The 17,155-nt window shown below is 53.6% G+C and overlaps 3 annotated features.

Moving 5' to 3' along the window:
* Positions 183-682: an enhancer, noted in NCBI's record as "H3K4me1 hESC enhancer chr16:86094529-86095028 (GRCh37/hg19 assembly coordinates)". NCBI's record gives its function as "activates a minimal SCP1, AML or CMV promoter by ChIP-STARR-seq in naive H9 embryonic stem cells {active_cell/tissue: H9 hESC(naive)}" and the evidence as "EXISTENCE:reporter gene assay evidence [ECO:0000049][PMID:30033119]".
* Positions 6,459-6,960: an enhancer, noted in NCBI's record as "H3K4me1 hESC enhancer chr16:86100805-86101306 (GRCh37/hg19 assembly coordinates)". NCBI's record gives its function as "activates a minimal SCP1, AML or CMV promoter by ChIP-STARR-seq in naive H9 embryonic stem cells {active_cell/tissue: H9 hESC(naive)}" and the evidence as "EXISTENCE:reporter gene assay evidence [ECO:0000049][PMID:30033119]".
* Positions 13,636-14,404: an enhancer, noted in NCBI's record as "OCT4-NANOG-H3K27ac-H3K4me1 hESC enhancer chr16:86107982-86108750 (GRCh37/hg19 assembly coordinates)". NCBI's record gives its function as "activates a minimal SCP1, AML or CMV promoter by ChIP-STARR-seq in naive and primed H9 embryonic stem cells {active_cell/tissue: H9 hESC(naive and primed)}" and the evidence as "EXISTENCE:reporter gene assay evidence [ECO:0000049][PMID:30033119]".

Here is a 17,155-nt window from a genome sequence, read left to right on the forward strand (position 1 = left end):
CTCAGCGTCCCCTCTGGCACAGGTGGGCTAATAATGGTGCCCATGTGGCAGCACTGCTGCGGGCACTGAGATGACCTTGGCAAAGCTCTGGGCCTGGAGGATGGGCACAGCCAGTGGAGGCTTCTGCCGTCCAGAGGAGGTGGGCAGAATGGCGACAGGCTCAGGGAGGGGTGAAGGGGCTGAGGAGAGGAGCCTGGGGAGGAAGGTCCCTGCATTCGAGTGTCTCATGGGCCAGGACCAGCCTCGCTTTGTGGGCACTGAAGGTCCCTCGGGAGAAGGGGCAGGGAGGCACGTTTTATCTCATTACGTGGAAGAGCCGTCGAAAAGAAGCAGCTCCCCATTCCTAGGAGCATGTGAGCTGGGTGACAGCTCCTGGGTGACTCAAACATTGGAAGAGGCACGGAGTCGGAGTACAATCCAGCCCTAGACAAATGCCAGGGAAGAAGAGGTAAGTGCACAGCGCGGTGCCGGCCAGGAAGTGCTTCACAGGGAGTGACTGCAACTTGTTCTTTTATTGATATTGTTATGGGGGTTTATTACCTTTGTTTTGCTCTAGGTTTCTCTCCACTGAGCAGATGCAGGAGAATGGCCATGTCAAAAATCTCCTGCCTACGACGGTCTGAGTGCCAGAGCCCAGCGTGGTCCGACGGTGCCCTCTGTGGAGGGGCACACGGTTGTCATTGGAGAGTGCAGCTTATCCATTGGTTTCAAAGGAGACTCCTTCTCCCGCCCCCAGTCACCCTCACACCTGTTCCCATCTGATGCATGGGGAAATCCAGGTGGGCGGCCTGGTAGGAGCAGTGGGAATGTGCAGCTGAAGACAGTCAGTTCATTAGTGGAGGACGGGTGACAGGGGCAAAGGGCAGGCAGGAAGCCAGCAGCCCACCCAGGCCCCCACCCGAGCTGGCTGCCGTGTGCAGAAACTGCTTCCTCTCTTGCCCAGCATTTTTGGGGAAAGGAACTAAACTCAGTTCCTGAATTGGAAGGGAGAGGAAAAGGCGAGGGTTGTGAGCCATTGAAAGGCTTGCACTTTCCCCAGTGCTGGGAGGGATCTGCATGGGAACCATGAGGCGGAAGCGATATTTTAGCAGCTGTTTTCCAAAGTTGATGAACAGCAGAAGACATGCGAGCAAAGACAACAGACCCAGATTTCCGGCCTGCAAGAACTCCTTCCAGCAAAACAGCAAGCACTGCCTGTGGCACCCAGGAGTCTCCTGGGCTGCATCCCAGATGGACCGGGGATCCTCTAGCATCTTCCAGGGGATGGGAGCCATGGACCGGTCCCAAGGCAGCCCACGTCACCCCTGCTAGCTGGGTGACCTCTTCCCTGCCCTCTGCACCTGGGCTTCCTCGTCTGGTGGAATCCTCCCTCGCCGGTCTTGTCTACAGATTTCAGTGAGAGCATAGGGATAAAGTCACCACCACTTATGATTTCCAGATCTGGAATAAATCAGGTCTTTCTAAATGGCTTCTAAGTGGCTAGGGCATATTTAATTACTCTAAAAACAAGCAAATCAATGAGGACTTGAAGTAATGGAACAACAATAATAGGACTTCATATGGATTGTTATTGTCAGTCGCATGACGATCTACTGAGAATGGTACCAGGATTTTACCCATTTTGCAGCTGAGGAAACTGAGCAGAGAGAGGGGGAAAAGGTTGCCCAGGGTCACTCAGCCTGCAGGTGGGTGGCTGAGGTTCAAACTCAGGCCCGTGTCACCCACTTGGCTGTGCCGGCCAAGCACCGTAGGACAGCAGGTTTCCACCTGGGGCTGCTGGTTGGAAGAGTGTGTGCCAGGTGGCTCTCTGGGACTGGCTCCCCTAGAGAATCCCCCAGTGGGATTTGTGTGCAAATGATTAAGGCAGTGAAGGCGCTGCCAGGAAGCAGAGGGAAGAGAAGGCACCAAGCAAGCAGTGGTTTCTTGGGGGCCCTGCCGCAGGCTGACCAGGCAGGGCTCTGGAGGGCAGGCTATGGGCGGGCCAGCCTTCACAGCCCCACTCCGAAGTCCCTGGCGAAGGCCGGGATGGCGCCACGTGGTCCTAGAAGCACAAGGACGGTTCTCTGAAGAGAGTTCCAGGTGAGGCCCACAGAAACAGAAACACACAGGAGCTGGGGAAGGAACAGGCAAAAACCTTCACAGGGATCTGGGTCACGTGGGTGGAGCCCGATAGTGTCTGTGCCATCAGTTTCTAGAACGCTCACCGCCACTAGGATTTTAGCGCTCCCGGGTGGCTGTACTGTTCACAGCTGAGCCCCCGGAAGCAAGGACACATGTGCCACCGGTTTGCTGGGTGACTTTATTTCTCCTGTAATCCTTGGTTGCCCAGCAGCTGAGACTTCTGTGATCTCCCTGTTCCCTCCCTCTGCACGCGCTAATTCCCTTCCCGATGCCCATGCTGCCTATGCACCTGCCCCTCGGGTTCTGCCTTCCTGGTGCCTTTGCTGTCTACTTGCTGCCTCTGCCATGTCTCGTGTGGCCAGTGTCCTGGAAAAGTGATGCCTCAGCATGTGGCGGAAGGAGAGGGAAGGAGAGGGAAGGAGGGAAGGAGAGGGAAGGAGTGGGAAGGAGAGGGAAGGAGAGGGAAGGAGGGAAGGAGTGGGAAGGAGAGGGAAGGAGAGGGAAGGAGAGGGAAGGAGAGGGAAGGAGTGGGAAGGAGTGGGAAGGAGAGGGAAGGAGGGAAGGAGAGGGAAGGAGTGGGAAGGAGAGGGAAGGAGGGAAGGAGAGGGAAGGAGTGGGAAGGAGAGGGAAGGAGTGGGAAGGAGAGGGAAGGAGTGTGAAGGAGAGGGAAGGAGAGGGAGGGAGAGGGAAGGAGAGGGAAGGAGTGGGAAGGAGAGGGAAGGAGTGGGAAGGAGAGGGAAGGAGTGTGAAGGAGAGGGAAGGAGAGGGAGGGAGAGGGAAGGAGAGGGAAGGAGTGGGAAGGAGAGGGAGGGAGAGGGAGGGAGAGGGAAGGAGAGGGAGGAAGAGGGAGGGAGAGGGAAGGGGAGGGAGAGGGAAGGAGAATAAAAGAGTGTGGGGGGAGATGGGGGGAGGGAAGAAGAGGAAGCCTGAGCAGGGAGGGTAGAGGGTGGGGAGGGGAAGAGATGGGGTGGGGAGAGCCAGAGAGGCTGGGCTTTTGGAGCTGTAGCAGCCGCAGGGAGTTGTGGGCTGGCCGGCACATTTCCGGTCCTTGGGTCTCATTTGAGGCCTGGGCCTCTGCTTGTCCTGTCTGTCGTTGGCTGTGTGGTTGTCAACTCCTCTTTGAGCTTCTCACCAAGGTGGCACCTGTTTATTGAGCACCTACTATGTGCCGGCTGTTTGCTGGGATCCAGCAGTGAGCCTCAGGCAGCCCCTGCTCTCTGAGCTCGTATCCTAGTGGGCCCAGACCACACCCACTGAACACATGGTAACTCCAGGCAGAGCCCAGCTGTCCTGCAGCCTTGCAGCCCAGGGTCTGTCCGTTGGGTGGAGAACCTGCTCCACCACTGGCTCCTCCTCCATCCCCAGATGTGTCCCCCCGAGTCCCTCGAGCTGTCCCAGGGACCCTGACTGCAGGGAGACTCCCCAGCTTCCACCCTTCCATGGCCCTGTGGTTCCTGGGGTGCAATCTGGCCTCTCCTGATCCTCAGTCTGCCCCTCTCTCCTTGCTCTGGAACTTTCTACCTGCATCTGGAGTTAATTTCTCTCCCATCTCCCCGGCCTTCGGGCCATCCCCAGAGGCAGTCCCACCTGGAAGGCACATTCAAATCACCTGGGAAGTTAAATAAACTACCCAGAGTGCTGGCCACGTGCAGACCAATGAAGGCAGAATCTCTGGGCCTCAGGCCTGGTGATTCCTTGTTCCCAGAGCCGAGACTTCCCCAGGCCCTCTTGCACTGTCTGCACTGCTGCCCCCCTCCTTCAGGTTTCCCTCTGGGACTCAGGTCCCCTGGCTGGGGCTTATCCTCAGCCCCGGCAACACGGCCTACAGCTGAGCTTCCAGCTCACAGCATGGGATTCCCACCTTTCTCCTGACTCACCTCTCCTTCCACGCCCAGGTATCCACCTGGGCAGCCACGCTTCCTGGCCTCAGCACACATTCTGAACTGTCCTTGGAGGGATTTTGGTGGCTCTGGCCAATATCCTTTGGGGCACTTTATCTCAGTGTGGCTGTGGCTCTGTTCCAGGCAGGCCCTGGCTAGCTGACTGGTGTCCTGTGGGCCCCACGCTGAGGGCATTACTGGACCCCCTTCTCGCCAGGATGGATGGACGTGTCTGTGAATGGTGGGTCTTGCATTACCACCCCCTCCTCTGCAGCCTCAGTTTCCTCATCTGTGGTCTGAGTTCGTGCTGAAGATGAAGGTAGGCCACCCTGCACACCATTGCCTGGTCTCTTCAACAGGTGTCACTGTGGGGTAAAGTTGGGGTAAACAGGAGGGTAGGAGATGGTTCTAGGGTAAAAAGCCTGTAGAGGTTCTTATGAAGTTACGTTGCCTTAGGGTTCTTTTTTTTTTTTTTTTTTTTTTTTCAGACAGTCTTGCTATGTTGCCTAGGCTGGAGTGCAGTGGCATGATCTCAGCTCATTACAACCTCTGCCCCCTGGTTCAAACAATTCTACCTCAGCATGCCGAGTAGCTGGGATTATAGGCAGGCACCACCACACCTAGCTTTTTTTTTTTTGAGATGGAGTCTCACTCTGTCACCCAGCCTGGAGCGCAGTGGCGTGGTCTTGGCTCACTGCCAACCTCCACCTCCCAGGTTCAAGTGATTCTCCCATCTCAACCTCCCGAGTAGCTGGGACTACAGGCGTCACCTGGCTAATTTTTGTATTTTTAGTAGAGACAGGGTTTCACTATGTTGGCCAGGCTGGTCTCAAACTCCTGACCTCATGATTCACCCACTTTGGCCTCCCAATTTTGGTATTTTTTTAGTAGAGATGGGGTTTCAGTATGTTGGCCAGGCTGGTCTCCAACTCCTGGCCTTGAGTGATCGGCCTGCCTCGGCCTCCCAGAGTGCTGGGATTACAGGCATGAGACACTGTGTTTGCGCCTGGCCCTTGGGATCCGTTTGAAATATAAGTTGGACTTTCCTCTACCAGAGGCAGGGCTCGGCCACCCTTGACACAGTTTCCAGTTCTCCACCCGCTCCAGTTCCACAGTAAGATGGATCCAGACATCTGTGTCATACAACTCCCTCCTGGGGACCACCCCACTATGGGACAGCTAGATGCAGCCTGTTTGACTGCCTCCTGACCCCAACACCCAGCATGACTATGACTGTGCAGATTTTCAATGACTGCCTCTCAGTCACTGTGTGACCTCCTGGGACCCGTGCCTGCTTGCTCCAAACCCACTACTTAAAACCCTCTGCTGGAAACCTGTTTGGATGATAGTCAAGGCGTGGCCCCATGTCCCTTCCTCGCTCCAGGCGCTCCCTGACCTCCATGCATGTGGCCTCTGGGAATGCTGTGTACTCTCAGGACGTGTAAGTAATGCAATCCTCTCTGTCTTGTGTCTCTCCTGATGATTGGGGAGGTGCTCTTCATCTGAAGGATCTTAAGTCAAATCAGAGACGTAACAGCCAAATACGGCGTTCAGTTCTTAACTGCATCCTGATTTTAAAACGCAGCCATAAAAGATATTTGGGGAACAACTGGGGGAAATTTGAATATGGACTGGGTATCAGACTGAAACGGGAAAAGCTCCCTTATCCCCCTCGCAGAGTGTGCGTTGGGAATGTGGCCCACTTCTTTAGTGCCCTGCTGCTCAAACCTCTAGGGAGAGCAGGCAGACGGGCAGGTTGTGGGGATCCAACCGCACAGCAGCGTCTAGGGGTGAAGTCTTACAGCTCCTGAAGCCCCAGTGGGCCTGTGTTACAGGGTGCTCTTTTAGTTTTGCCATCTGCAGATGGCTTGTGCTCATCAGCTCAATTAGACCCTCTGCCTTATTGCAAGGACGAAGGGCTTTCTGAATCCCGGGGTTCTTGCCTTGGTGTACCAGAAAAATCAGATCACATGTGGGCTTGGAGAATGAGTGCAAGGTTTCACCGAATGGTGAAAGTAGCTCTCAGCAGATGGATGGGGAGCCAGAAGAGGGAGTGGGAAGGTGTCCCTGGAGTCCGGCTGCTCGGCGGCTGGACTGTCCTCCCACCATCCCAGCCAAATTCCTGTCGGCGTCTATGTTGTTCGCCAGTCGATGGCCTGCCGGTGCCTGCCAGTGCCTGTTGGTGTGCTCTTCCGCCGGTGCGTTCCTCTCGACGTCCACCCACTTGTGTCTGTGCCCGCCAGCGTCTTGAGGTTTTTATAGACACAGGAAGGCGGTGTGGTGGGCCAGGGAGGTCTTGGAAAATGCAACATTGGGGCATGAAAACAGAAATGCTTGTCCTTATCTAGGTCCGTGGGCACAGGCCTGGGGGTGGAGCCCTCACCAGAGGCAACACCCTTCTCTACTCAGCACTTCCCTGCCCCCCTCCCATATCAAGATGACATGAGGGAATTATTGTTAATTTTGCTGGGTGAGCTAATAGCAGTATGGTCACACAGAAGAATGCCTTTGTGTTTTTGGAGATGACTGCCATAGGATCTAGGGCTGAAGCGTCGGGATGTCTGTGAGATACCTTGATATGTGTTAGCAATTTCTATTTAACCATCTATCTGCTTAGCAGATATTTGACAAAAAGCTAAGAGCTGTTGAGTCTATGTTGTGGCTCTATGAGATTCACGTGATTTTATTTCTGACTTTCTCTCCGTTTGGAAATTTTCATAATAAAAATTTAAAAATTGAGCGAGGGTGGATAAGCCCCACGGCGAGTGTCTGGCGCACGTGGATTGTTTGGTGAATGGGCGCTGCTGTCTCTAACAAGAGTGGTGGGCTGACCTGGCCCTTCTTATGCACGTCCCAGCTGAGCCGGGCCACCCTACTCCGCCGCTGGGTCCCAGCCATGACGCTAGGCCACACCTCCAGGGCCCTGCATCCCAGCATTTGCTTTCAAACGTGTCCTTCTCATAACCTGGGATGCTGTGGCCACACCTCACTCCTGCAGCCCCACTGCCCACCCTGGCAGGTCCTTGTGTCTCCAGCTATCCTGGAAGCAGCCTCAGACCCCCAGGGGTGGTGGAGCCAGGGAGTCCCAGCGGGGCCCGCACCTCTTCCTCCCTGGCACATTCAGATGTCAGTGTTTGAGAAGTGCTTTCCTCTCCTGGGGGTGGGTGGTTGGAAAGTGCTGATGGGAATCAGGTAATAACAGCCCCACTGCCTCCCAGACAGGGAGGGGTGGGAGCCATGGGGGACTTTGGGAGCTGCTGCAGGTCAGGCAGAGAAAGAGGGCAAGGGGTGTGATGAGGAGGGCAGCAAGATGAGGGCAGCCTCCACCTGGGATGAGCTTCTGTGGAGGTCGGGGCCTGGAGCTGCCCTGGGGTAGGTGCCCGGCACTAGCCCAGTGCTGGCTGTGGTCAATACTCAGAGGTCACTCACGGAGGGGATAGGGCAGGGCTTGAGCGTGGGCTCTGGAATATGGTAGTCTGGGCTGGAGTCCCAGCTGGGCGAACTACTCAGTCGCTTTGTGCCTCAGTTTCCCATTTGTGGGGTGGGAACAGGGTCATGTCACACGTATTTCATACGGTTATTGTGGGCATTAGGCACAGTAACCGAAGTTTCAGGAGTGGAACGTTACGTGTGAGTAGACGTTAGCACAGTCTCTCGTTTGTGGGGTGGGAACAGGGTCTTGTCACAGGTATTTCATACAGTTATTGTGGGCATTAGACACAGTAACCGAAGTTTCAGGAGTGGAACCGCTACGTGGAAGTAGACGTTAGCACAGTCTCTCGTTTGTGGGGTGGGAACAGGGTCATGTCACACGTATTTCATACAGTTATTGTGGGGATTAGACACAAATAACTGAAGTTTTGGGAGTGGAACTGCTACGTGGAAGTAGGCGTGAGCACTGACATCGTTAACATTATGTCGTCGCTCTCAAAATGCTAAATGTAGTTGCTCTCGGAGCCAACAATTCCCCTTCTGGGTTTCTGGGAGATGCGAAAACAAGAGGAACGCAAATATCCATCGTCCCAGAAACTCGTCTGGGAATGTTCACTGCAGAACTACTCACAATAGCCCAAAGTGGAAGCAGCCCAAATGGCCACCAGCAGGTGAATGAATAAACAAAGATGTGGCAAATCCCTGCCGTGGAATATTACTCAGCCATGAAAAGGAATGAACACGCACTACAACACACATGAACCTTGAAATACTGATGCTCAGTGAGAGAAACCAGACACAAAAGGCCACAAGCTGTGTGATTCTATTTCTATGAAATGTCCAGAACAGGTCAATATGTAGAGACAGAGGCAGATGTGTGATCACCAGCGCCCAAGGATTTGGGGGTTTGGAGTGACGGTGAATGGGTCCAGGGTTTCTTTCTGGGGTGATGAAAATGCTCTAAAATTGGACAGTGCTGATGGCTGCACACGTCTGTGAATGTACTGAAAACCACTGTTTTGTACACTTTAAATGGGTGACGCTTACGGTATATACATTTAGGACTCAATAAAGCCATTGTTTAAAAAGAAGGGCATTGGAATACATTGCTATCATATTTATTAATATATTATGTCTTAATTATTAATATATAATTATAATTTAACAATATACAGTTTTACGGTTAATACAATAAGGTATTAATATAGTTAATATGTAATATAATATATGCTATATAGCATATGTGAAAGCAATAATCTGTTAGTTTTATAAAATAAATATTGGTTTAAAGTAGTTGAAATTGCCATTTCTCTACATCCTGAATGGACAAACAGTGGCAATTTTGTGTGGTTCAACCTTATGTATTTTCCTTTTTTATTATTTGATGATAAGCATTGCTGTTTGGCTAATGCTATCATTTTGGGGTACTGCTGTGTGGCAGGCACTGGGCTGTTTTCCCCAGCACGGATGTCCTTTGCAGTGATTGTCTGGGATGCCCTGCTGGTCCCAGGCTGCAGAGTGAGTGGTGGATGTGGCTTAGCCAGGGACAGGGGCTGTGGGGTTCGGTTGGGAGCCATGGGTGGCCCCAGAGTTGGGCTTCAAGGCTGGGTTTCACTCCGTGCTGTGTACAGGAGCCTGTGGAGCAGTGTGTGAAAGCCCAGAGCCCAAGTCAGCAGGTCTGGGTGGCCTGAGACGGCGTTTCTCGCAGGTCCCCAGCGAGGTCGGTGCAGCTACTGTGGCCACTCTGGCCTCTGCTGTAAAGGAAGTGCCCTCCCTGCCTCCTGTTCCTCCAGGCGACCAATGTGCTGAGCCATTGCCCGCCTGACCGGGTCCCGGCTCGAGCTCACGGATGCTGCCTGCCCCTAGGTGCAAGCTGGTGGCCTCTGACACTGGGGCCAGGGGCCAGCTGTTCTCTATTTGTCATGACCACCGAAGCCAGAGGGAGGCAGGGCCTCTTCCTGAGAGGAAGCTGCATGAGGGCGGTGGGTGGCCTTGGACACCGGGGCCTCTGCCCAGCACGCCGGGCCCAGTCTGGCCGGATTTGGGGTAGGCAAGGGGGACAGGCAAGCAGGGCAGCAGACGGTGACTGGGCAGAGTTTAGAAGAAGCCGGGTGAGAGTCTGAGATGCGGAGAGGAAGCCCACCCCCACCCTGCGTGCTCAGAAACTTCCAGAAGGCTGTTTACTCCCCTGGTGCAGCTTCCCACAAGGGCCACCTCTATGTGCGTGGCCAGGTGGGAGCCAGGACACACAAGCTGAGCCTGGCCTGAGAGTCAGGGAGAGGCTGTGGCCAGGACAGCGCTCGGAGGCTCAGGGCACTGACACCAAGAGTTCCTGTGACACCACCTCAAAGCTTAGCACTGAGAACAGCAGCCGTGTAATTGATTTTCTCATTATTCTGCAATTTGGGTAGGGTTTGGAGGGATGGTGTGTTACAGCTCCACTTGGCCTCAGCTGAGGCTGGGGCTGGGCGGGGACTCAGCCGAGGCTGTCAGCTGGAGCGGGCGGGCTCAGTTCTTCTGCACATGGCCTCTCCACATGCCCAGGTTGGGCCTCCTCAAAGTATGGGGACCTTGGGGACTGGCAGACAAGGCATGACTTCCACCACACTCCCCCCGTGAGTAGCAGTTCACAGGCAGCCCAGGTCCAAGGGGAGGGACCTATGTGACCTTGGGCAAGCTGCTGAACCTCTGATTCTCAGCTTCTCATCCAGTTTCCTGCCTAGCTACAGCTGCATTCTTAGTGCCTAGAACCAGGCTCCACAGATAATAGGTGCCCAATAAAGAGACGGTGCAGAGCAATGGAATGGGCAAACCAGGTCATTCTTTAACTGTGCGGGCTGCATAGGATCACTGCAAGGATTCAGTGTAGGGAAGCGTATAAAGTGCTTAGTACTTCAGTACCTGGCCAAAGCACAGTGCCCGGTCAAGGTTAGTGCTTGTTTCTCAAAAGCACCCAGCCATGTGAGGCACAGCACCTGTGACAGGTGGCGAGGCGAGCCTTGCTGTAGGTCGCCCTAGATACCTGGTCAGGGGTAAGGTGGGTGCTGCTCCCCTTTTTTGCAGCCTGGGCCATTTGTTCAGAACCCAGAGGTGGGGCCAGGTCTGAGTCAGTCTTCTCTCTTTCCTCTGGGCCATAACAGGAGGGGGCAGCTCTGGAGAGCAATGGCAGCCAGGCAAGTGGGGAAACGGCTGATGCCCAGAAGGCAGATCTTCCTGCTTTGTGAAAGCAGGAGCTGAGAGAATTCCTTGTCCTTCAGCACAGAGCCACCAACCTCGGACACCTTCCCCCATGGTCCCCGCTGGGAGCAGCTGCCCATTTGGTGTAGAGTCAAATCACTGCTCAGGGGCCTTGACCAGTTCATTAGCCTCATCTGTGAAATGGGAGGAGAGAGAGTTCTCACTGTGGGGGCTGCTGCGTGGGTGCGGTCATGCATGCGAGTGTCCTGTGGCCCTTGTAACAAATGACCCTAAACTTGGTGCTTAAAACAGCAAGAATTTATTATTTCACAGGCCTGGAGGCCGGACGTCTGAAAACCAGGTGTCTGCTGGGTGGTGCTTGCTCCGAAGGCCCTGGGGGCGGCTCCTTCCTCCCTCTTCCAGCTCCAGGTGCCTGATGGCTTCCTCAGTGCTCCTTAGCTGGTGACAGCACTGCCCAGCCTCTGCTTCCGCCGTTACCTCGCCTTCTCTGTGTGTGTATGTGTTTCTCTATGGACTTCCTGTAAGGACACCAGTCTCAGATTTAGGGCCCAGCCTCCTCCACTATGACCTCCTCTTAACTAATTACATCCGCAGTCGTGGCCCTAGCTCCCCAAAAGGCTGCATTCTGATGTTCCAGATGGACACACATTTGGAGGGACACCATTCAACCCAGCACAAAGGGCTGCTCGGCTGGTCAGGGCTCCCCAGTCAGACCTGCTGTCGCCACTGCTATGATTAAAGCTGGGGAAGCTGGACTTCACTAGATGATCTCCCAGGTCCTCCTGGTTCCCGGAAGCTCTGGGATTCCTGTTTGTATTCTTGCCCCACCCTAGCCTCCCACTGTGGTCCCATCCTCAAGGAGTCCCTCAATTCACAAAAGCCAGAGCATCACCCGGAGATGGAGTGATTCTCTCCAATATTTACTGGGACCTAACTCTGATTTAAATGTCCACGGGGGCTGTTGAGATGGCCCCTGACCATCTCTCTCCCCGCTTCCCCTCTGTCCCTCTGTCCCAGACATGTTGGCCCTCTCTTACACTCCTTTCAACCAGTCAAAAACACCCCATCCTCCAAGCGTTTGCACCGGCTGTTTCCTCTGCCAGGAGCACTCTTCCCCCAGACCGCCAGGTGACTCCCGCTCTCCCTGCATTCAGATCTTGGCTCAGAGTTGCCTGCCTGCCCCCCTGCCCCCACCACACAGCATCAGCCATCACCCCGACCACTCCGTACCTGCCTCAGAGATTTATTTTTCGCAGCATTTACAACCACCTGGCTTTTTTGTTAATTGCTTTGTTAATTTGCTGATCGTCTGTGGCCCCAACTAGAACAGGCAGCCTCCACGGGGCGGGGTTTACTCCGTCCAGGCCACAGCTGCATACCCCGTGCCTAGAACAGGGCTCAGCAGACAGCAGTGGCCCAATAAAGGCGCGATTATAGTTTAAAAGCAGTTCTGGGTTCTGGGTAGCTGTTAGTTTTTCAGAAAATACAAATCCAGCTGCTATAAAAAGCACAAATCCTATCACGCTGGATCTGAACTGGATCTGAAATAATATTGGGGATCGCCAAGGGGCTCAGATATTTCTTTAAGTCGCCCGTGAGCAAGAACCATCAACTTGGCCACATCCTCGTTTGTCCAGCAGAGGGCAGCTGATTCCCAGCCGCTTGGAATTGCTCTGCCCAGAAGGGCTCACTTTTTTTTTCCTCTTTGAAATTCTGAAATTGATGGGAGATTCAAAAAAAAAAAAAAAAAAAAAAAATCCCACAGTCCGTGTGAGTGGGGGAAAAAATCACTTGATTTGATGCACAGGCAATTGGGCAATTGTTTCCTTCTAGGTTTCAAAAAACCTTCTCTCTTTCCAGAATTTTGAAGGACTTGCGGGGGGCGTGGGTTAGATTTTTGATGAGCTCAGGAATGGACCTCGGTTTCTACAGGTGTTTGAAGGTCTGATGGATCAGGTGCAGCCCAGCAATGCCTGCAGGTGTCATGGTCACGGAATCTGTGGGAGCAGACCTGCCCTGGAGACACCTGCAGTGAGCCTGGGAGTCACCCCGCTTGCGGAGGGCGGGGAAGGGGGGCACGCAGGAAGCCTGTGCTGTGGGTCTGGTCTGGTCCTAATTAGCTGTGAGACCTTGGGCAAATCACTTAACCTCTCTGGTCCGTTTACTCTTCCGTTAAATGGGATGCCATATTAACTCCTCTTGAAGTTCCTTTTAGCACAAAAGTCCAGAGTCAAAGGAGAGGGGAAGGCTCCTAGCCTGGGTGCCTCGGGCAGTACAAGCCTCTGAAAGCTTAATTATGTCGGATATCGTGGACCTAGGCGGATCTGCAGTTCACCTTTATCTCTGGGTGTGGAGCGGAACTGAGGCTGATTCTTGGCGCTACCACTAACTGGACATGTGATCTGAGGTCAGTTTGTGTCTCTGAGCCTCAGTTTACCCAGCTACAGGCTGAGGACATAGTCCACCTTTGCAGAGGTGTGAGTTTTCAATGTGATAACAGACAAGGGTGGACTCTCTCCTCTCACTCGAGAGCCCCCCTCCCACCCTGGCTGCCCCTGCTTGCCCAGGACTGTCCAGGGTTCCCTGACATGCGGCCCCACAGGTCTGGGTGTGGTCCTAGGGGCTGATGTCTCTCCTCTTCCCCACTTATCAGAATGCCCCCAGCCTGGCCTCTTCCACCTGAGTCCTGTTCTCTGCCTTAATCCAGTGAGTTCATTTCTCCTCTGACAGCCCCTTGAAAAGGTCAGTGGGGTTCCAGGGAGAGAGTTTGGGGAATTATCTCGGCGTCCACCCTGTGTCTGTAGGTCCCTCCTGGGGTACAGTGGATCTGCTAGTGCTTATGTGAGTGAGTGAGTGTGTATGAGTGTATGAGTGTGCAAGTGTGTGTAGGTGTGTATAAGTGTGTGCAAGGATGAGTGTGTATAAGTGTGCAAGCATGTGCGAGTGTGTGTATATGAGTATGCAAGTGTGAGCGAGTGTGTGTGCGAGTGAGTCTGCGAGTGTGTGAGTGAGTGTGAGTGGGATGAGGGGCAGACAGTGGAGAAAAACACAAATCTTTTCTTTTACTGGAGTGAAATTAACATAACATACAATTAACCATTTAAAGCGTGCAACCCAGTCAACACTCTTTTATCAAAGAGAATTTACAATAGCAGGAAAGCACTGAGAGGCCACCATCGGCCAGGCCCCTGCCAGAAGCTTCGCCACACAGTGTCATTTCGTCCTTACTACCTGACTCCAGGAGGAAGGGCGTCAGTGGGTGAGGAATCTAATGCTCAGAGAGGCTGAGCAACTTTCCCAAGAACACCCATCCAGGACGTGGCGGAGCAAGAATCAAGCCTGGGGTGCTGGAGGTGACTGGGGACACCTGCCTGGCTATGGTTCTGACCCGACTCAGGGGACTTGGGAAGGGTGGTGGGCAGGCATGGGCGGGGACGGTGGGCAGGGCAGCAGTAGCCCCAGTGAAGTCACTTGACCTCCTCATCCCTTCATTTCCTGCTCTGCCAGAGAGGAAATGTTTATACAGCGGCCCCACACAGACGCTCCACAGGCCTGGGGTTGCAGTCATTAGCTGAACAATGAGGGCCCGGCCTGTCCCTGGCCCCAGAGATGGCCTGGGGTCAGGCAGCCGGGCCTGGCTCCTCCTCCACGAATTTGCCTTGTGATCCCACCCTGGGCCTGTTTCTCCATCTGGGAGAGGCAGAGGCTGAGGGTGCTGGCCTTTGGGACTCCTCTGAGGCCCCCGGCTGGGTGATCCGTCTGGTGGTGACATGTGGGGAGGAGAGTGGTCACGAAAGGGGGATATGTCAGCAGAGAACTCTCCCCCAGATCCTTATCTCGCACGGTTTAATCATGCGGGTTTCTGATTCAGCTCAACATTTCAACAGCCGCCTAAGAAGTCTCTTCCGAGTGGCTGGCTTGGTCTTCCATTAGTTGGTGCACTGATGAATGAACCAAGCAAAGGTTTATCCTGCACCTATGGCCAGCTGGCCGTGGGCACCTGTGTGCATGTGCGGAGCTGTCCTTAGTGGGTGGCTGTCTGGCCAGGAGCTGTGTTTCCCAGGTGTCTTTGCATCTGGGTGGGAACAGGCCACTGGTTCTTGCTGAGAGAATGGGTGAGAAGAAGGTGGTTGCTGCTGCTCACCAAGGAAGTGTGTTGTATTCACCACAACTCTCTGTCTTTTCCCCTCTCCTGTCTGAAGACTCTGACATCCCCTGGACAGCAAGGCCCCATCTGGAAGAAGCCCAGGCTCTTGAGTCACCATGTGGCAAGGCTAATGTCTGAGAGGGACGTCCACATTGGAAGGGTCCACGCATGAGACATAAACTTGTGACAGGACATTGAGATTTGGGAGAAACAGAATAGAGGAAAATGATGGGATGTGACAGAGACCCAGTGCTGCCCCTGGCTGGCGCCCCAGAGCCCATCTACCAGAGAGCACCTTCCTCCAGAAGACGGGAGGAAATTTAAAACTAATCTTATAGCTTCTGTCCACAGAGAACTCAACCACACACCCACACACAGTCACAAAACAAGAACAACAGAGCACTTAGGGCCAAACCCTTTACATACATTATCTCATTCAATCCTCACAGTAATCCTACAACGTCAGTGCTATGCAGCATTCCCATGTTACGGATGAGGAAGCTGAAGCCCAGAGAGGTTAAGTAACTTGCCCAAGGGCACACAGCCAGCGAGTGGTGGAGCCTGGAGTCGCCCCATGGTCTGTGAGATGCTGAGAACATGGATAAACCTCAGCGTGCACAGTGGGTACACTTGCCGTGTGTCGTCTTGGTGTAGCAGTTGGCATTACCTGAATGTATACAGCTACGTGGTGCCAGCCCTGGAAATGCAGCTGCAGATGACACAGAGCCAGTCCCTGCCCTTGGTGGGGATGGGAGAAGGGGGACACATTCAGTATTTAGGCTGTAGGATCATCAAGATTTTGATTGGTGGGGTAGGTCCATGTTCACCCAGCTGCCTTATATCTGTCAGCCCACCAGAAAGGTGCCCGGGAGCTGGGACAACTCCAGTTCCTGGAAAGGCAGAGCCCCTACTACATATGTGTCCCAGTATATACATCAGTCTCTTGTGAGTTGAGTTACTATGTCTACATACATTGAGTTGGTCCATCCATGAATCAGTATGATCTTAGCAAATTACATCTACAAAGACTCTATTTCTAAATAAGGTTACATTCTGAGGTCCTGAGTTGGCATAGATTTTGAGGGGACACCATTCAACTCAGTATATTGTAAAGCTCTCAGGCATAGAGATGCCAACCCCAGCAGTTGGAAGTTACCTGGGTGCTAATATGTCCAGATCCTGGAATGGTCTTTGTAGGCAGATCCCTGCCAGCATCCACTTGGGCTGGGAGTGAAAGTACAAGGTTTTTGTTTGTTGTTTTTGAGCCAGGGTCTCACTCTGTTGCCTAGGGTGGAGTGCAGTGGCACGATGTCGGCTCACTGTAACCTCCACTCCTGGGTTCAAGCGATTCTCCCACCTCAGCCTCCCAAGTATAGCTGGGACTACAGGCTCAGGCCACCACACCCGGCTTAATTTTTGTATTTTTTGGTAGAGACGGGGTTTCACCATGTTGGCCAAGCTGCTCTTGAACTCCTGACCTCAAGCTTTCAGCCTGCCTGGGCCTCTCAAAGTGCTGGGATTACAGGCATGAGCCACAGGCACAACACAAGATTTTGTTTTTGGGCTCTGCTTAGCTCCAACATGAGGCTGGGCTGGGTCTGAGGGGGGCTATTTCGTTCCAGCTTAAATCCATCCTGCCCCAAAGTAGCAGCCACCCGTGATCAGAGGGCTTGGCCCTGGTTTCAGGTTCTCCTTTCAGAAAAATGATCTCTTTCTGCCTTTCAGCAGATGACTTCACCTATGGTGGCTGCATTCTTTGTTTCCTTGGGTCAATGCCACTGGTGGCTCCATTGGGTGTGTGTCAAGAAGACACACGGCAAGTCTGTCCACTGTGCGCATTGAAGTTTATCCATGCTGTCAGCATCTTGCAGACCATAGGGCGAATCCAGGCTCCACCACTCATTGGCTGTGTGCCCTTAGGCAAGTTACTTAACCTCTCTGGGCTTAGCTTCCTCATCTGTAAAATGGGAATGACACATAGCACTGACACTGCGGGATTACTGTGAGGATTGGATGAGATAATATATGTAAAGGGCTTGGCCCTAAGTGCTCCGTTGTTCTTGTTTTGTGACTGTGTGTGGATGTGTGGTTGAGTTCTCTGTGGACAGAAGCTATAGGATTAGCTTTGAATTTCTACCCGTCTTCTGGGGCTGCCTGGAGGAAGGTCCTCTCTGGTAGATGGGCTCTGGGACGCCAGTCCGGGGCAGCACCGGGTCTCTGTCCCACCCATTATTTTCCTCTGTTCCGTTTCTCTGTCAGGACCCCGAGGCTGAGGACGTGTCCTTTTCCACGTCCCATCCCACTTTCTTGCAGGCCCGAGACCAGATGAGAACCTGGAGGGAATAAAATGGGAAATGAGAATTCGTTGTGTGGCACG

Source organism: Homo sapiens, chromosome 16 (assembly GCF_000001405.40).
Source record: "Homo sapiens chromosome 16, GRCh38.p14 Primary Assembly".
NCBI classification, from domain to species: Eukaryota; Metazoa; Chordata; class Mammalia; order Primates; family Hominidae; genus Homo; species Homo sapiens.